This window comes from Homo sapiens, chromosome 3 (assembly GCF_000001405.40).
Source record: "Homo sapiens chromosome 3, GRCh38.p14 Primary Assembly".
Taxonomy (NCBI): domain Eukaryota; kingdom Metazoa; phylum Chordata; class Mammalia; order Primates; family Hominidae; genus Homo; species Homo sapiens.
The window spans coordinates 191,347,147-191,368,072 of NC_000003.12; the positions used below are offsets into that span (position 1 = coordinate 191,347,147).

General features: G+C 37.0%; 1 protein-coding gene across 3 annotated transcripts in view; it reads left to right on the forward strand.

Annotated features, from left to right (window-relative positions):
- Positions 1-20,926, forward strand: part of CCDC50 (coiled-coil domain containing 50) — a 69,266-nt gene that overhangs the window by 17,753 nt on the left and 30,587 nt on the right. For all 3 annotated transcript variants that reach the window (NM_178335.3, NM_174908.4, XM_011512460.2), the window contains exons 2-4: positions 9,942-10,004; positions 10,852-10,978; positions 13,923-14,013. In NM_178335.3, the coding sequence (NP_848018.1) occupies positions 9,942-10,004; positions 10,852-10,978; positions 13,923-14,013 (281 nt within the window). The remainder of the gene's footprint in view (positions 1-9,941; positions 10,005-10,851; positions 10,979-13,922; positions 14,014-20,926) is intronic.

Consider the following 20,926-nt stretch of genomic DNA (forward strand, 5'->3'; position numbering starts at 1 on the left):
TGTTTATTGCAGGATAATTAACCCGGAAAATGTCTTTCTGTTACTAGAATTTCTGAAGGTTTTTCTCCTTTCTTCTTATTTTTTGGATATCAACCTTGAGTTGTGTTTTTCCATTCACCTTATACTTAATTTATTAACATTTTGTAATTCTTGGGATGATTTGGCAGTTTGCAACTACAGGGGAGTTCTAAGGATGTGGGGCAGTTTTCTCAAACCAGTAATTCTGGAGACTAGCTCCAGATTGTGCAAATTCCTGCTAGCACCTCAGCACATACTGCTTTATCTGCTTTAAATGCCACATAAATCCTAAGCACCCCGTTGCATTGTTTAGCTGAACAAATACATCCGTATGTATACACACATTTTTCTTGATTCTGAGCTCTAATCTTAACAGTGCCACTCATTTAACTATGCGATCTTGGGCATATTATTACAAATCTCAGCCATCATTTCTTTGTAAGTTGAGTGATCTGTTTAATTGTGGCCCAAAGAAACCAAGAATTGACCACCTGCCTGTATATATCACTTTTCTAGGTATTCTAGGATCCTATTAGGCAACATATCCTTTCATTATAATAAAGCTGAAATTCCAGGTGAAGGAATTTACTGTTGTTTGAGGTAGTATTGATAGACATGTAGCTCCATAGCCTTGTTTCAGATAAGCTGGAGGATGTGGATGAATGAATATGCTGGATGGATGTGGGTGGAAAAATTCAACATTTCGTGTTATGTCCTGTGCACTAGTCGTCATTGTTCTCAGGATCCATCTTTTTCACAAGCATTTATTTGAAAGTCACTATCCTGGGCACTGGGATAAATGTTGGAGATAAAATGATCCATAATATTTTTCTTGCCTTTCAGGATCTAGAATATATGCTGGGGAAACATGAGTAAAAATTTTTAATGATATAATTAGTGCTACAGTTCTATCCTGTAAACTACGTGCTATGAAAGCACTGAAAGAAAATGATAGATGAGTCTGCTGTATGTTTGTGAGTCAGCTACATAGGTGACATTTGAATGGGGGTCTTGTAGGTTGATTGTGAATTTTCTAGATGGTAGAGGGGTGGTTGGGTGCTTTGGGCAGATGGAACACAGAGATTCCCCCACCATCATCTGTGTAATAATGGTGACTAAGCTTCTTTCCCATTTGCAAGCCTCTCCCATTCTCTGTGTTTCATTCTCACAACAACCAAGCAACCAAAAACAGAGACCAAAACCAATAACCATAAGAATCTCTAAACAGATGAAATATTGGTAAATATTGCTTGGTTCCTTAGTCATCTGTATAAGGTGTAGAGTGAAAATGTTTGTCTTTCACAAAGAAATTGCAAAAATTCTGTGTCGACTTTGTGGACAGTCTAGTAGTGGGATTATTATACTAAGGATAATAACTACAAGACAGTGCATCTGATTTAATTGTATTATGGATCTCTGTTTAGAAGGATCATCTATCTCCCAGACAGGTGGAATATCATGGCATATTGGAAAGAACAGGGAATTTGGAGACTTAATTAGAAAAGTAGCCCTGCCATTGATTGCTTTGACTAGTAACAAAATAAATGAAGATGGAACACCTATGTAGATTATTTGCTTAGCTTCAGCCAAAATTAGATGCCACTACCCTCCCACTGTCATACTGTGTTTAGATTTTGTTAATTTCAATGGCATGAAAATTTTAGAACACTAAAAAATGGAGAAGGATCAAAAGTTTGTGTTACCCTTTGTTCTGTAGTAAATGAATTGCTCACGTATTACTTAAGTGTTCTTTTGTTTTCAGCCTTGAGCCTGAAAGTGAGAAATTTTAGCTATCAGTGATCAGCAACTCAGAACTAAGTTTGCTTTTATGGGGCTCATAATTGGGGTATTTGAGTGAGCATAAGAGCGTGTCTGCTGTCTATAGCCAAGCATCTCTAAGCTCCCTACTTGCCCTGCTGATGGGGGTGGAGGAGGGGGTTGGTTTTGCTAATGATATTGGCGGTAGTGATATTGATGTCATTTTGTTGATCTCTATATAAAGATTGCTGGGGTTGAGAATGTAGAGGATTTTTCATTAGGATAAGATCTATTCAGTTTCTCTGAATCCCATTTCTCTTTTACTGTGGTAATTTTATTAGAACTTTTAATAAAGAGAAGAAACTCTAACAGATTAGGGAGACATTTCTTTTGTAGGGTAGCGTAAAAGTTTTACAAAATACGTTTATTATTTCAAAGTGTCATTAATATATCTTAGACACATGAGTCTAAAATTGAACAATATCTTCTCTTCCCAAATGGAGGGAAACTTGTGGATGTTGAAAAGAGGGTTAGAGAGATGAGGGCAAGTGGTAGGTCCCAAAGAGAGATTTCCCTTAGAATTTTTCACTGTAGTCACTACCTAGGGTTTCCTGTAGGTCACTTAGGAAACACTGTGAAAGAATCGGAAGGATGGGGTGGTGGGAAGAGGGTGAGAGATGAGAAGGTACTTAATGAAGTACAGTGTACATTATTCAGGTGGTGATTACGGTAAAAGCCCAGACTTCACTACTAGACAGTATATCCATATAACTAAGCTGCACTTGAAACCCTTAAATTTATACAATTAAGAAACTTTTTATTCCTGTTTTTTCAGGTGTAAATATAGGCCGACTGTGATTGCTAGAAGTCTATTCTTGGGAGACAGTGAGGCAAAGTAAACTAGGTCTCATTTTTATTTGCATTTTGGGGGACATGGAAACCACTTTCTGAATACATGTACCATCTTTACTAAAAATTACTTTTATCCTTGATTTTAAAGAACTTAATGCCCATTTATCTTATTTTAACTAGTATTTAATAATACCCCCCCCCTCCCTTTTTTTTTCCTGATACTCTAAGCAGAAATATCTGGGGCAAGAAGAGGTGGATTTGATTTCCAGTTCATTTGTTTTATTTGTTGGGTAGTCTTATTCAAGCCGTTTTATTTCTCTTGAGCCTTAGTTTCCTCATAAGTAAAATGGGGATGTTGATAAAGCCTTTATCCTCAGATGGTTAGGAGGAATAAATGTGAAAGTGCATTGTAATTTATGAAGTGCTGTATAAATTTCAGTTGTGGCTGTCTGTTATTACCAAACTTTCACAAGACAAAATGTATCTCTTGAATATCTTTCTTGTTCATAGTAGATGTTTTCATGTATACAGAACAAAGGAAAGCAAGCATAATCCCTGCTTTCAAAGCAGAGTATATAGTCCCTCTGCTACTCATAGCATTTACATAAAAAGAATAATTCACAAAATTCTACCATTCTATAAAAGGGAAAACAGACACAGGTGAAAGAAATAGCCTCTAGTTAATGTGGTATTAATCCAGGCATTTTTATGTGGATGGAAGCTTTTAAAGATGAATCATGGCAATTGTAATTTCCGAAAGTCTTAGGATGTAGGTAAAAGAACAACGGAAAGGAAATGGCTTTTTTTTCACTTCCTTTTTAGTTTATGTAGAATTAGTTGGGAAAGCACTGGGAATGTGCACATTATTTGGATAATGTGTGAAAGGAACGTGTAGCCGTTCATGGAATCAGAAAATTCTGGCTTTGGTTGAAATGGGGTGATAGATAGGTACTCATTCTGCATACTTGACTGAGGTGAAAGAAGGAGTTCTTGATAGCAGGAGTGCTGTTCACTGTTTAGATTTGGTTAATCTTGTGCAGAGCTTTTAAACTTTTGAGCAGAGTTAGTTTAGCAAAATGTCCCCCACTAAGTTTTTTTCTCACCGGCATTGCCAGTATAAATACAAGTTAAGTTCCTGATTCTTGGCCAAAATTTGAGACTGTGTTCCTTTAGTGGAAGAGTAAACAAAATTCCTGCTGCCCTTTAGGGGTATGTGTGTATGTGGGGGATGTGGCAGGGGTTGGGAGGGGGCACTTCTCTTTGTCCCTGAGAAAAAGATAAGGGGATTCTAAAGACTCTTACCCCATCACTTGTAAATCTGAATCACCTCTTTGAAACAGTCTTTAAAAAGAATATTTTGTTTCTGAGTGAGAAGGAGAGAAACTTGCTGTAAATGAGCTTTTTAAAATAACAATCTGAAATACGTTTTATGAAAAATGCTCAGAGTTTACTTATTTCTTTGTTGGTGAAAGCTGAGGAGATCTTAATCTAGTACTGTTAATGACTAAGAAAAGAATTTTTTAAAGGCTGTTTTAGGCCTCCAAATTTGATGTCATTTGGGCTGGAATTTTAAGAGACATTCAAATCAATGTTGATCAGTTTCCTTTTAAAGTGTTGAATTATTAAAATATACAAATTTTGTCTCTATTTTTCTACTGATTGCCAAGGGGAGGGCAGACAAGGGTGTTACCTGTAGAAGGAGAACAAGTAGTTCTGCTTCAAAGTTCATAGAATGCTCCTACAGTTATTGGTAGGGAATTGGGGAGTGGGCTGTGTCTGGAGCTGGAGGGGTAAAGTTGGCAAGTAGATGTACCTGAAAAAAGGTGTGTGAGGAGAAACAATAAGGCGAAAACAAAAATGAGAGACTTCGGAAGCAAATGCAAGAAGAGAAAAAATATAAGAGATAGAGTTTGGTTGGCGTGAGGTGGAGTGGGGTGGTAAATCACCAGATTTTCTTTGGTACATTTCAGGTAAGTTGTATACCAGGAAGCCTATGTAAAAAAAGAACCAATTCCTTATGAGGGTGCACAGGGTCTTTCCTATCCCATCTCTTGCTGTAATTCTCTTTGGGGCTTCTGTGCTCCGGACACACACAACTCCAGGATGGCCTGTGGGTTTTCATCTTTTTGTCTTTTTCCATAATTGACCCCTTTGCCAAGAATGTTTACCGCTTCTGTGCATAGGAATTTTAACTTACCTTGAGATACATTTCGTGTTAATTACTTTAAGGTTTCTTGATACACGGTTTCTTGATACATTCTGTTTAAATCACCCCCACTTCTTACATCCACCCCCAGTTCATAACAAGCATAACTGTTCCAGTGTTTATGACTTCAAAGAATTTTCTTTAGTACAACTAATTGTCTTTAGTACAGTGTTTATTAACTTACATTATACCTGTTTTCCTCTCTGATATTTCATCTCAGTGATGGCTTGGAGATGACTCATTCATCCTGAAATAGAGTTCAACACATGTTTATTGAGTAAATGGTGTTGATTAGGTGCATACTATGCCATTCATGTATTTAGGGGGAGATCAACAACTCAATGAAAATCATTCTTTAAGGAAATGGATGGGGGGTATATATATGTATGTATTTATGTATGTCAGCCAGTCCTCCTTTCCATTTCTAAGACCTGCTTGGCCTATTGTAAATTAATTCACTGTATATACAGGCATCCCTCATTTTATTGCACTTTGCTTTACTGCGCTTTGGACAAACTATGTGTTTTACAAATTGAAGGTGTGTAGCAAGCATTTCTTAGTAATAATGTGTTTTTAAATTTAGATATGTACATAACCTGTTTAGACTGAATTCCATCGTACATTTAATAGACTATCAATAGACTATATTAATAGACTATAGTGTAAACATAACTTTTATATGTACTAGGAAACCAAAAAATCGTGTGATTCATTTTATTGCAATATTTGCTTTATTGCAGTGGTCTGGAACCAAACCTGCAGTATCTCCAAGATATGCCTATATTTAGATTAACATATTGAAACTCCTTTAATGAGAATGGGGATAGGGTTCTAGTTTTATGTAGTTTGTTTATTACTAAATTTGTTTAAATGATGTTTGACATATTAGTGTGTTATGCTGTCATAATAGCAGAGTTTAATTCTGTTTATGACATTATTTTCTTCCTTTCTCCTACTCTTGTTTGACTTTATGATCCAGCTTTATTTTTTTTTTTTTAACTTCTTTCAATTAACGAGCACACATTGTGTGGAAGGTGCAGAAAGTACACCCACAAAGTCCCTGCTATGAAGAGCTTGCAGCTGGATAGGGAAGCAGCTGTGTGCTCGAATTTCAGAGCAAAGTGCATTTCTTTCTGTTAATGCTCTTCTAAGCAATGAGGCAGAGTTGTACGGCTTTTAATGTTCAAAAGAGACTTAGCCACCATCCCTAACACTGGGAAAATGTCTGGGCAGAGGGGAGAGCCTACGGGACCATTGAGATCTGGTGGGAACAAAGAATAGTTGTGTAATTGACTATGGTGGGAAGCTCATTTTAATAGCAGACTGGGACTAGTAGAAGATGTTGATAGAGTTGGCTTACGGCAAGAAGGTCAGCCTGAGTTCTGAATGAGTGAAGGTGAACATGGGAGGCAAAAAGTTTGAGAAATGGGAGGGTGAAAGGTGGTTCACCTTAAATGTGCCCACAGAGAAAGGTGGGAAGATGAGTGTATGCCGTTTATCCTCAGTAGGCTGTTTATGCTGTTTACATCGAAGGCAGAGGAGGTTAGAAAAGGAGAAAAGTTCTCTTCATGCTCTGAGCGTGGCCTGGCTGTGAAATAGTTTCAGTAATTCTCAATCTGGTTACTGATTTACAAAGTTGACTGAATATGTGATTGTTTTCCAGGTTGTGCTAGAATACTGATGGAGGGAATACAGAGGCAAATCTTGAAAAAAATTAGAGTGGGTTCAGAAGAAATTATATATTGGGCAAGTAATATTTCAGTATAAATGAGATTATATGTTTGGAAACTCCTAGTAACCTCCGAAGGGCAAAGTCAGTGTATTTGACAATACAACTCTCTGTGTGTATGTGTTCATGTACTTCCTCATAATCATTGAAAATCTTCCAGATCCCCTTCTAGCTCAGGCCCTCCTCATATCTTTTGGGTACTAGTTCAGCTTCTGCAGATTCAGGGACAAATTGCAATAATAGAATATACTTCAGTCTTGCTGTTGAGATAGTAAGAAATCATTATGAGGAGTCATCAAGGTAATCAGCAATTCGGAAATTTCTCACACCTGTTATAATGTGTCAAACCATATCTTCATGTTCATGGTTTAGCAATATGTGCTGTTGACAACATGAAATAAGTGAATTTAATTATAGAACTTAAAATGTAATATGTAAGACATTTAAAAAGCACAGGAAATAGAAAAACCCATGAACCTACCACCCACATCAAATGTTAATATTTTGCCTTATTGTGTATCTTTTCTCTTTTTGCTTTTGAAGCAGAATGGCTCATGCAGCTAAGGCACTCATGCCCCTCTTCGTCTCTCTGGAGAGAGAACTACTGTTTGGAGTTAAGTTTGTGTCAGTGCCATATTATTAAAAAAATTTTTTTTAACCATAGGTATATCTATCTACAAACTATATTTTAATGTTTAATGTTCTGCTGACTGAAGTTAAGAAATATTTTTAAAATTATTGTAGTTCTTCACATGATTCTCCACATGGAAAAATGTAATAATTTCATAATTTTTAATTTTAGTTAGCATGGTATTAGAAACATAGAAAACATATTTTTGGCGTAACGTTCTGACCTAATAACATAAATTGAAGTGGCTTTTAAGCTTTTTGTAATCTATAGAATGATGTGTGTTTTACATTTTGACCTAGTACCTATCATCTCTGTATGTATATATTTCTGTGATGTTTATATATAATACGGGAAAAGTTTCCCCAAACTAGTTTCCTGTACTGTGTGTGATTTATACTAGTCCCTTCGTATTTGTGGGGTGGGGTGTAGAGGTGGTTCCAAGACCTCACATGGATACTAAAAATCTATGGATACTTCAGCCCCTAATATAAAATGGGGTAGTATTTGCATATAATTCATACATATTCTACTGTATACTTCACATTGTCTGTAGATTACTTATACTACCTAATACCGTTCATTTAGGAAACAATGATAAGAAAAAATGTCTGTATGTATTCAGTACAGCCACATTTTTTTTTCCTGAATATTTTTTATTTGTGGTTGATTTAATCCATGAATCCAAAACTCAGGGCTATGAGAGCCAACTGTCCTCTGTTATTCTCTAGACTATTGACTTTTAAAATGCCTTTCTCAGGCTTAGTAAATTGATTTTTTGACCTAATAATAGATTGCCACCCATAATTTGAAAATCATTAAGAGTAATCTTAAATTTGATCTAATCATAATTAATCTAAAATTAAGACTGACTTTTAATATATAAGCACAAGCTTTTCCAGTATAATAAAGGTGTTTTAAATGATAGGTCAATACATTAAAATAACATTCTTTACACAAGATTTGATTATATTTATTTTAGCTAATTCATTAATTTTTGTAAATTAAGTCCGTGTATGTCTTACCCATTTAAAAATTAGATATTAATTAATTGAAGTGTTTTAGAGAATATGCGATGGTTAATGTAGAATATTTTCTTTCTGTCTATTCTTACCATGATTTACCTGGAGGGAAGGAGGGCCATCATTGTGTCAGGGAAGGGGAAGGAGCTCTTGAGCTCTTGCTGGCTTAGATGTTGACCCCCAAGCCCTGTCACCAGTGAACTCTGTACAGCCTTAGAAAACCCCTTCTTCCTTCTGGCTTTCAGTTTCCTCACTTATTAAATGAGGGTGTTATCTAGCTCATCTTGAAACTACTTTTATTCTGTGAAACATAAGGTAACTAGGACCTGGGCTTCAAGATATTAGAATCGGTTGAGAATATGAAAAGCTGATGAAAAAGAACAGGGCTTTCTGTTCGAATTACTGGTTTTGCTGTTATGTTTGAGCGAGGATTAAGCAGGTTGTATCCAGTTGAATATAGTTCTTGGGCAAGAATTATTCCTCCATTATAAAACCATTTCAAAATAATCTTGACCTCCCCAAGATCTCCCTCCCTTTTTGTGGCATTATCCCTCAGTCGTGAAGGACACAACTAATGTTGAGTGTATATGTGAACATACATAAGTGCAAAGAACGGCAAAGGAACGTTTTTCATTCTGTTTCAGTTAAGTGTCCTCATAGGCAAATCCAAAGCTTCGGAAAGAAATCTATCACTTTTCCTAAGCCCTGGGGAATGTTTCATGAGTCCTACTCAATTGCAGTAATCTGAGGCTTTGGGGAATTTCCTTTTTTTAACATGAATTACATGCTTGGAATAGAGTGAGAACATATCACCTAAACTACACGTCCTTAAAACAGCACTTTACATGATGAATCCTTCATGTTTTGTCTGTTTGTATGTTTACGAAGCAGGAGTTTAAATTGCAGCTTGGGGTAAACATGGATACCATTGTTTACCCCAAACCATTTCTTCAAGACCATTTCTTCCCATTTTGCTTCTGAGAAGACAGGTCAGGAAATGCCCTTGCCTGGCTCTTCAGGTGGAGGCAGAGTTGGGGCAGATTCCTGGTTTCCTTCAGGGTTCCCATTTTCTTTTGGTTTGTAGATTATTTTGGGGCAGCCCAAGGTTTAGAGGGACCTAGAGACCTAGTTCTAACTCATGTCCCTGGGGATTGACCCACTGAAGAATGTTTAAGAAATTAAGAATTTTTAAAGTAGAGCTCTGCCCCTACCTGAGGGACTAGTGAAAATATATTTTTTCTTGAAAGACGCCAGGGTAGACATAAATTGCTGGGAGAGGATCGTCTGAACCACAGGGAAGCATAGATTAGATTTCTTTTAACACCTCTAATTATGCAGTAACTCAGTTCTCTCTCAGTAGCAATATGCAAAGCATGACTGATACGTCTGTTATTTCAGCAGCACTTAACCCTCCATTTATAGAAGTGGATTGGAATTTCTAGACCTCTGGAATCTGATTCTGTAAATGTTCTCACCTCAGGCCAGGGGCCAAGGCTAACCAGTATTTTGTGACACCCTGTGCTTGGCACTAAGCAGGCACTATAGATTTTTGTGACTAAAGACTGCATACTTAACTAGTCACTATTTTATGCATTGAGAATTATAAAGTGTGTCATTCTGAAATATTAGAATTGATTTTTTTTAAAGTAAAAAAAAAAAATCCTTTCCTTTGTATGTTAAAGTATTACTAATGAGCCTTCCTGTCTGTTTTTCCTCCATCTACTCTAGTATGCCGAGATTTTGCTGTCCTGGAGGACCACACCCTGGCTCACAGCCTGCAGGAACAAGAGAGTGAGTAATACCTCTCATTTATGCTCCTTCAGTTTTCTTTTTTTAGTGGTAGCTTGAGGCTGGTTTCTTAGGGCTTAGGTGGGGAGAGAGCACAGTCACTTGGCTTCACCATCCATACATCCTGAAGGATTTCTTTAGGCAAATGATGCCTGGGTGATCAGTGAAGTTTCGGGCATGTTAAGTAAGATAGGCTGCCAGGAATTAGTAGACTGCTGCGTCTGTAGGAGGAAAAAGAGAGGTTTGAACCTTTTTCCTAGCCTCTTGTTGTAGGAGGGACACAATGGTTGTAGATTTATCTGGGGTGCGTAGAAGGAATCTATTCTTGCTCCTAGGATAGGGACTTGAACAGTTTTCCCAGGCAACTGTGGTATAAATGAGATCACATTGTGAATTTTTCTGAATCTTTTTTTCCATGTGGTGATGAAAAGTAAATCTAAGCTATGCATGTTATATTAAAGTACATACTTGTGAATATATGATTTGTGAATTCACATATCAATATAAAATTGACATTTTGAAAAATGCGGTTAATAAATAGAGTGACAACATGTAGTAGTAGAAAGAGCATTGGCCCTGGCTTTAGAATATTTGTGTAGATGTCCTGGCACTGCCACTTTGTTGCCGTGTGACCAAAGGCAAATTATTTAATCTTTTTGATCCTCTTTTTACTTAATGGAAAAGTGGGGATAATAATTCCTTGCTCTTTATTATATATTGTTGTTGAGACAATAAAATGAAGTGATGGATGCAAAGCTGTTGTTATGGTAAAGCTCTTAAGATTATTATGGCATTTATTACTAACAAACCAAGACATTATTCATTCCTGTCCTCAATCTTTTTGTTCCAGTTGAGCATCATTTGGCATCGAACGTTCAGCGGAACCGTTTGGTCCAGCATGATCTCCAGGTGGCTAAGCAGCTCCAAGAGGAAGATCTGAAAGCGCAGGCCCAGCTCCAGAAGCGCTACAAAGACCTGTGAGGATTTGGGAGGTGGGAGGGGTGATGCAAGACTGGTTTTCTCTGTGGAGCTAGCAACCAGGGCAGGGGAGAAGGAGACTACTTCTGTTCCTCTGATTCCTTCTACTGTTAGATTACAAATCTTACCCTGGATGTCTAACAGTTTTTTTGATTTGAAAATGTTTTGTTTTTGTTGGAGCACTTGACCAGGTTTAAGGACATGTTGATGATGGTGTGAATTTTAACATTTTTTAGCTGTTATGACCTTGGGCCAGTTAGTCAACTTCTCTGAATTTATTTTCCTTACCCATAACATGCGGATAATAATCTCTGTCCCCTCTGCCTCATAGTTTCTTTGGGGGATCCAGTGAAATAGTGGACATCAAATAACTTTATGGGTTGTATTGGTTCCTTTACTATGTTCTAGCTGTGTTTGCCGCTCTTACTTTCCTTGCTTTTCAGTACATAGCAGAATGTTCTGAAAAGCTCTGAAGTGTAGACTCAGTTTTTTTCATAACTTCAGTGTCTGACAAAAGTTCTCTCTAGTAGCCTCCTTTAACACACAGATAAACGGAAATGATTATTTCTCAGGTTTCTTTTGGCACAGTGACTTTTATTCTGTTTCAGTGTTATAAAGCTCCCAGGATACATTTCTTCTTTGAGAGTGGCTCTTACATCCTAAATCTTTAATGTGGGTAGATTTAACCACAGATACTGTGTTGAGGAGGAAGGGGTAAAGGAAAAATGGAAGGAACCCCTTAATTTACTTCAGTGTCATATTCAGGTAAAAAGGAAAGCCAGTCATTTTTGCTAACTTATAGGAAGGGTTTGTCTTTCTGTTTATTATTTGTAGAGAGGACTTTATTAATCATTTTGTTAAGCTTCCCTTATTTTGTAAATAAACACTTTTATTGATTCATGCTAAATCTGGCACCATGAAAGGAGACCAGAGATATGAATAAGACAGCTGTTGCCTTTAAGGGCCTCAGGAAAACACCTTGAGCATTGTGTATCTAGAGATACGTGCATGAGTCACAGAGAATTGAAATGTAAATTTCAGGCCTATTTAGAGAGAAGAGACTGGGAAAAGCTTCACAAGACGATGTGTTTAATCTGAAACTTGAAGGTTAATTAGAAGTTTATAGTGATGGGGAAAACCATTCTAGCCAGAAGGAGCAGCATGCATAAGGGCAGGAGGTAAGAGGACTTGGAATCAATCTCACGTTAGCTGCAAGAAGTTCAGTGTTGCTGGAGTGGAGAGTGTATTTACAGGCAGAAGTAGGAAGTGAGGCCAGGAAAGTAGTCAAAAGCTGGATCAAAAGGGTCACGATAAGTTATGTTAAAGATTTCAGGTTTTGTAGATTTTAAATTATAAGGAATGGAGAACCTTTGAAGTAGTTTCAGATTTTCATTTTGGGATCTATTCTGTAGACTAGGTGGGTAAAGGCTTGGAGTGGGCAAGATTTGAAGGCAGCTGTTGAGCAATGGTCAAATTAAGAGATGGTGAGGCTTGAATGAGGACAGTGGTGACAGAGAGGAAGGAGATGATGAGGCCTAAATTGAAGGTCATGGTAATGGAGATGTAAAGAGGAGGAGAGATATTTGAGATGTTATGAGGCTCAGTGTCACAGGTTAAGGTGAGAACCAAAGCTAGAATGTTCTAGAGTTCTAAATTCATTGCCCTTTACATTATTCACAATTCTCTGTTAGAAAGGCCAGTTCTGAGGTTGATGCAGATGTTTAAAATCCTGAATTAGGTTAATAACAGTATAATGAGCTTTTTCAGAAATTATCAAGACAAACCACTCAAATATAAATCAGGAGTAGAGAGTGATATTTTATAGGTCCTAAAGGAGAGAAGAACCGGGTATTATATTTCTGCCTGAGACTTCAAGGTTTTGAAATTGTTCCTGGATGAAATAAGTAAGCTAGAAGGGAAGTCTTTCAGTTCACTCCCTGGCAATTTTAATAGCTGTACATCTTGGGAAGGATGAAATGCTGCAGTTTTCATTGAACTGGAACCTTTTATTCAGTCTGGATACCCGGGCTGCCGTAAGTCAGGATTACCGCTTGTTTACTACTGCTTTCTCAGTTTCGCTTTCCCAGGAGTCTGTATAATTAGCTGACTGAACCAGAGATGGTACTTCTTGGAAATATGGTTTGAAATCATTAAACTCAGATGAAGCTTCACTTATTTATTTTCTGTACCAGGAGATACATCTTCTGTGTCACTTGTGACCTTTAACACTTCATTTGGGTTTGCCTTCTCTACGGTGCTTCTACTTTCTTCCCACTTATTATCACATCCAATGTAGTTATTAGTCAATTAATTCTATACAGATTTTACATTAATTTGGGAGGTTCAGGTAGAGGCTTGAATGAAGACAGAGGCTTTTGAAAACTAAGTCCGTGATTTTGTGTATGATTCTTAATTATTACAATGAGTGAAGGAAAAGAAGAAATATAAATAGCAATTGGTCTGAGTAGATTTTTGTTTATTTTCATTTCTTTGGTTTGAATAGATAAGAATACTATGATATTAGACCTGTAATGTGAAGTTACTAAGTGTACACTTTTTTATAGCTTATAACATGGCATGACAGAGAATGATTTGTGGTTATTAGTGGTAGAGGCAGGACCGTCAAACAGGCCCCAGTGGGGTGAAGTGATAGGTGGTATAGAAGAGGTGTGGAGTTTTCCATTGTTGGGTGTGATGATCAGATTCCAGTTCTACCACATATTTTCGTTGTGATCTTGAGAAAATGATGCAACTTCCCTGGACCTTAGTTTTCTCATCTGTAAATGTGACCGTGTCAGCCTCTTTGCATCTTTATCTTGAAGATAAAGTGAGAAAAATAATGTACTTCTCATATAGTGAGTATTCAATAAATTGTATTTATTACTTTTAGGAAATACATTATTTTTTATTTTCCTTATTCATGTTTTCACCTTTGCTTTTTAGTGAACAACAAGACTGTGAAATTGCTCAGGAAATTCAGGAGAAGCTGGCTATTGAGGCAGAGAGACGACGCATTCAGGAGAAGAAGGATGAGGTATAACTTAGTTACTGCCCCTCTCCCTCATGGAGAAAGGGGTGCTCAGCTTTAGAGCAAAAACTTTCTGTAGGTCACGGGCTCAATGAAGGGTTTCTGAATGGGAAGCAGAATGCCTCTTATTTGGGCTGCATTTTCCTCTGTGGACCATGATTTATAGCCTCTTGATTATGTAAATGGTAAAAGTCTTGAGAGATAATGGATAATTTCACATATGATGTGAGTTAGTTTCCTATGACTGCCGTTACAAATTACTCTGCAAACTTGGCTTAACAGAAATTTATTGTCTTAGAGTTCTGGAGGCTAGAAGTCTAAAATCTGAAGTGTTGGCAGGGTCACGCTACCTCTTGGGAAGGATCCTTCCTTGCCTCTTCCTAGCTCCTGACTCCTGGCAATCTTTGGCATTCCTTGGCTTGTATCTGCATCACTTCAGTCTCTGCCTCCATTGTCACATGGCTTTATTCTCTGTCTGTATCTTTGTGTCTTCTTGTCTTCCTGCAAGGACATCAGTCATTGAATTGAGGACTCACCCTAATCCAGTATGACCTCAGCTTAACTAATTACATCTGCAAAGACTGTTTCCAAATAAGGTCACATTTTGAGGTTTGGATAGAAATGAATTTAGAGAGGGCACACTATTCAGCTTACTACAAGGTGTCTGTCCCTGGGTTGTTCTTGCAGCATTAGAGAGAGCAGACTTTTGAGTGGGGCCTGCACAGGAGCCAGGGAGTAGTCCTTGGGAGAGGCCAGGAGCAGGCATTGCTCTCGTTCTTTCTCTTTTTCTTAAAGGTTTCCCTTTCCTCTGATCTGTTGGTTAAAAAAAACTAATCAGTTTGATTCTGTATATATTTTTAAGTCATAGTGTTTTTAAGGCTGAAAATGACTAAAATTACTAATAGTGTTTGGTTTGTGAGAAGACTTGAATTTACCATCAGCTATTATTTCCTTTTGTGTTATTATTTTCAGCCCTTTTTTTAAATTATTTTTTGACAGTGTTTTGCTCCATCACCCAGGGTGGAGTGCAGTGGTGTGATCTTACTGCAATCTCCGCCTCCCAGGCTTAAGTGATCCTCTCTGCCTCTTGAGTAGCTGGGACTACAGGCACACGCGCCCACACTTGGCTAATATTTAAACATTTTTTTTTTTGTAGAGACGAGGTCTCACTATGTTGCCCAGGCTGGTTTCAAACTCCTGTGCTCAAGCTGTCTTCCTGCCTCAGCCTCCCAAAGCACTGGAATTACTGGCATGAGCCCCTGTGCCCAGCTTAGTTTCAGCACTTCTTATGAACAATTTATTTCATTTTACATCATTTCTATGCTACCCTGCTTTCACACCTGTTATGCTGTACTTGGTCACTGTCTTGATTTATAATAGAGAAGCAAATGATTTATTATTTTTAATAGTTGGATAACAATATGGTTTGTTAAGCACCCAGAAACACTTTCGAGGGTTATAAGCATGGTGTTAATTACATAAACTGAAACTACACTGGGCAAACTGGCACTTATGATCATCATGTTAAATAGATATGATCAGGGTCATCAGTAAACAGCCTACATACACTGCTACTCCTACTGAGCCACTCTTGTTCCTGTAAGACTTCTGTTCAATGCCAGATGAATGTGAAACACCTGGTATGAGAGTATTGAGTTGTTTCTTCAAGAAACAAATCATGATCATGTGATAATCAGAGCTGCAAGTAAAAATTAGGGATTATTTTTGATACTTCCTGTAATACACAGGAGGCGCTTTCTTAGTATTTAATGTGTTGCCTCTTTATAGTGAAGACTTTGCTTTGGGGATGACACTGGGAACTAAAAGAAGTGATTATATTTTGTAGACAGGAAAGCTTCTATTTAAAAAATACCAGAGTAGTGAAGTTGGCTTCTTATAAATGCTACTGCTGTCCTGTGGGGTTTTTTTTTTTTCTCCGTTTAGAGAAAAACAGGATAGAAAGAGAAAATAAAACACTTTATTTTAATTATGTAGAATCTAAATAGTAATCATAGTAAGTAATCTCATGGTAATACTATATAAAATTAGCAGTTTAGTGATTAACTCCATTTTTCGGATGTAGAAATTAAGTATTAAAGAAGTAAGTGACTGATTCCAAGTTATAAAATGCTAGAGAAATGTCTGTACAATTCAGGTCTCCTGACTGCTTCTGACTTAGACATACTGTGGTATACATGAAACATGTGGACTTTGGAGTTACACTCACCTGGGTTTGAATTTTAGCTCATTAACTATTTAGCTTGGTGATTTTCAGCACCGCCCTTAACCACGCAGAACCTCAGGTTCCGAAATGGGTTGAGTCATAGTAGTTGTGCATACCCTAAAGGGCTGTTGTGAGGTAAATGAGATCAGGTACTTGGGGCACCTGGTACATGTTAAATTTATAATTGCCCTTTCCTTGATTTCTGTTATAGAGAGATATGTGCTGCCTAGGGCAAAATTAAACAGGCTTAAGTGTGTTTCAGTATGGTGTGATTTGAGAGGTCCTCAAGCGTTTACACACGTGTCATTACAGGTCTCCCACTAGCTTGCCCTCAGTAGAGTGGAAAAGTTAAATGAGAAATCCAGTTGTATAGGTGTGTTGACCAGACAAGCCTATATAAACTTCATTCAGACTTTTTGACTTTTCAACTCATGCCTCAGATGAGAAGATGGCTACTGTGCCAAGGTAGAAAAATGTGACTCTCAGCTGTCTAGTATGTTGTCAATATTAAATGAAGAAAATTTGCGTGAGTAAAGTTTGTCATTGAGGGATATATGAAAATGCTTATTTATTTTAGTCTGTTGGTAACAGGGTGCCTGAAAGGGAGAGGAAACTAATACTGAGACAGTAGTGCTAACTCTTCCGGCCAATTTTTGAAAAAGAATTGCTTGTGACTAATGAACTCTCTTAGTTCTTATTTTTTTTTTTTTTAGACAGAGTCTTGCTCTGTCTCCAGGCTGGAGTATAGTGGCGCAATCTTCGCTCACTGCAACCACTGCCTCCTGGGTTCAAGCGATTCCCCTGCCTCAGCCTCCTGAGTAGCTGGGACTACGGGCGCCTGGCACCACGTCCGGCTCATTTTTTGTATTTCAGTAGAGACAGGGTTTCGTCATGTTGGCTAGGATGGTATTGATCTCCTGACCTTGTGATCCGCCCACCTCAGCCTCCCAAAGTGCTGAGATTATAGGTACGAGCCACCGCGCCCGGCCTCCTTTTTTTTTTTTTCCCCTTCCCTCTCAATGCTCTTCTGCTTCCCTGTAGAGTCTACTTGGTTAATAAGGACTTAGCAGCAGCAGGGCTGTGGAAAATCTCTCTCTGGGTTTCCACCCAAATCTCTTTAAGAGATTTTTGGGGTCAATTTTCCTGGTTAGTTACCACCCCATAAAATACCAGATATAGAGACTGAGAACCCTTTTCTCTTGGAACAGAGATTTTTTTTTTTTTAATTTTTTCTGAACAACATTGTGTGTCAGATGTGGTGGAGTTATACAACCTTGCGTGTATAAATTAGCAGTTCTAGCTTTGTCATGGTATAATTTTATTATGTTTGTTAACAAAGCACAGATGTAAGGAAAGTAGCATTTCCATGCAGGACACAGATGTGGAAAAGTTGAAAAAAAAATTTTTTTTTCGGTCTTTCTAGCTTTGAGAACTCCTCACCTTCCCTCCCTTCATTCCTCTTCTTCACTTTCTTGCTCTCTCACTCTGTCTTGCTCTTCTGTCTCTGTTTATTTTTAACTCTTTTACATAGTTTCTCGAATATGGTAGTTCTCCCTAGGCTCCCTGTTGGAAGGAGCTTGTAGACTTTGGGTATACTGGACTCTGTGAATTAGTGGTTAATAAAAATGGGTTAAGGTTAATCAGTTAATTTAACTTAGTTATTCTTAACTAAAACTCTAAAAGTGTGTGTGTACTTATGTGCATGACTAGATGTGTGTGTGTGTTTAAACCTAGGTTTAAAATATATGTGAATGTGCAACTATTTTAAGGAAAAACTTTTTTTTTTCCTTAAATAAATATTAGCATGGCCAAACATGTCATGAAAAGTTTGTGGCACTAGTTTAACAATTTGAAGCCCTTTATAGTATAAACTGCTCAGGGATAAACCTAGTAACCAATTCACATTGAAAAAATGAATCTAGTATGAGCCATGGTACTTACACATAGCACTCTTTAAAAAGATTAGAATTTCATGTTCTAAAAGAATATTTACACATTCTTTGGTAATATTTAGAGGCTAGATCAAACAGTAATACCATTTAGCTATTAAAAATTTTCCTGTGTTTTAAGTATTATAAATATGACTAGAAAGGGAGATGGGAGGCTTCTTGTTGAAGTCTTCCTCTCTTCTTACACTATTATACTGATGTTTTTACATCCATAGAATTGGTATTTTCCTGTTTTATCAAACAAACCTTTTGGATTTATACCTGCCTTGACATCCCTGCCGAGTTAGATGTTAATATGTTAATTGCTAGTTAATAGAGAAGTTTAGCAGTTAAATGGAACGATTTTTTTCTCTGACAGTCATTTGACAGTCACATTTTAAAATCACCTTTTGATTGTTTTTAAACTCCAGATTTCCTCTTTTTGAAACTCATTGCCATTGGAGGATAGAGGTGAAACGCTGAGAAGTAACTCTCTATCCCTTATACATTTATATGATATAACCCTCCATCCCTTATATATTTAAATGATATAAATCATATACAGATTGAGCATCCAAAAATCCAAATTCCAAAATGTTCCAATGAGCATTTTCTTTGAGCATCATGTCTATGCTTCAGAAAGTTTCAGATTTTGGAGGATTTCAGATTTCGGATTTTTGGATTGGGATGCTCAACCTGTAAATGACAGAAATACCCTAAGGAAGCCAACACCATGTTTCAGTTACTTGTCATCTACTTGGGAAAGATGTGTGGGGATCCTCTGGGTGCCACTGCACCTTGTTTATATTAATGCTTCTCATAGAGCCATGTTTTCATTTCTTACATTATGCTAATTGTTTTACTAAAAGCAAGATAAGAACGTTAATGATATTTATCAATCCCCTACTGCTCATAGCACTATTCTTTAAAGCTAAAGAATTTGACACAGGGCACACGTCTGGCCCACTGAAGGGAATCACTAAATCTATGTTTTCATTAAAATTACCTTTCTCTAGTATACTAGAGATCCTTAACTGTTTCCTTCCTTATGGTTATGGTTTCAAATTTTCCAGAGTTGGGTGAGCTTGGATAACAGAAGGGAAAGGTGAGATACAATGGTAAACTCCCATTTCAATTAATGTATTTACTAGGAAGTCTTCTGTGGAACAGGTTTGTTTTTACATATTAGCCCAGAAGTCTATCTCATTAATTAAAATGTAATTAAAAATGACTTTAAAAGAGCTTAAGAGTTCATTTAGATTTGTTTTCCCAAGTTATGTAGAACATTAATTACCTGAGTTTTTTTAAAATGTGAACAGAAGCTTCTGTCATAAATTTGGAAAATTATAGGTTACTGGAAGATAACAGGTTTTTTTTTTCTTTTAAAGTTTTAAAATGTGCTAATATGCATCTTAAAGAGTTATATATGCTGCATGCTTTCTATTGAAAGGTGTGTTTTTTTTGGATAAAGTTTTGAGGCCAGTGTTCTCAGGAAGAGGCTTGGGAAGTGCTGTTCTAGACTTATCATTAACAGGAAGGAAGCTGAGGACCAAGGAGATTGTTTATATCAAAGGTGACTAAGCTGGTTAGCTACATCCAAGTACTGTGACTGATAATTGCCATCGTCAGCTTGTTTCAGGGGGATTTACTTTACACTGAAATTATCTGACAAAACTCATTGCATAGTAATGTTGGAAAGCTGGGAGGAGAACGGACTTGTGCTAAACCTCAGCTATAATATAGTGGCAGTTTTCCATTGAATTTTTGTCCTTTCTTTCCTCAAGCCTAGTAGACCTTTTCTTTCAAAAAAGAGCTGAGAGCTTAGAAGAGCAAAAAGGTTTGGGTGCTAAGGTGCATGACATGTTATGATTATTATTATTTTTTTACTTGATTAAAAGCACTTTCTTTGACTAGCTAATGCATTACAAAGAAGGGCTGTAATTCTTTTTTCTCTCCTGGTTCTTTACACTGAGAGAGTGGCGTATTACTATGCTTCCATTAGGACTAAATTCAGTAGCAAGAGGGCAGTTATAAGCAATTCTATGAATAGGACTCTGAATTTTTAAGACTTTGATGGAAAAACTATCCCCTAAATCTCAATGTTAAAATGAATCTCTCTTTTCTCCAAATGTTAAAATGAATCTCTTTTCTCCGAATGTTAAAATGAATCTCTTTTCTCCTACAGTTCAAGTTAGACACGGTTTTAAGAGACACTGGGAAAGAAATAGTCACTACTAATACCAATTTTGGGGAGAACTTCAATTCTTTATCTGTACAATGGAAAGTCTGAACTAATCAATCTTAAAGCCAAATGTCTTTGACTACTTAATTTATCATTTTAATAAAGCCGTGTCTACCAGGTCTGTGGAGCATAGTTTATAATTTCTTCTGGAAGTTGGACCTGATAATTTTCCTTTATATTTTTTCCTCAGTTATAGCAGGGGAAATATTTGTTTACTGTAAAGCAAACCACGTAGGAAAATATAGTTTTGGGTGCTTAGTAAACATACAGTTCAAGGAAATGTTTACGTTTCTTTCTACTTCTGTAGTAAACATTATAGAAATTTGGAAAATTCTTCTGTAACAAATAATAGTTTTTTGGAGAATAGGCTATCTGTCCCGTTCCTCTCTTCCTGATTGATAGATTACTTTGTAAGATATTAAAGCTAAAGAATCTGGCACAGGGATTGGCACCTGGTAGACACATTTGTTGAAATGATACATTAAGGAGTCAAAGACATTTGGCTTTTTTTTTAAGATTGAATAG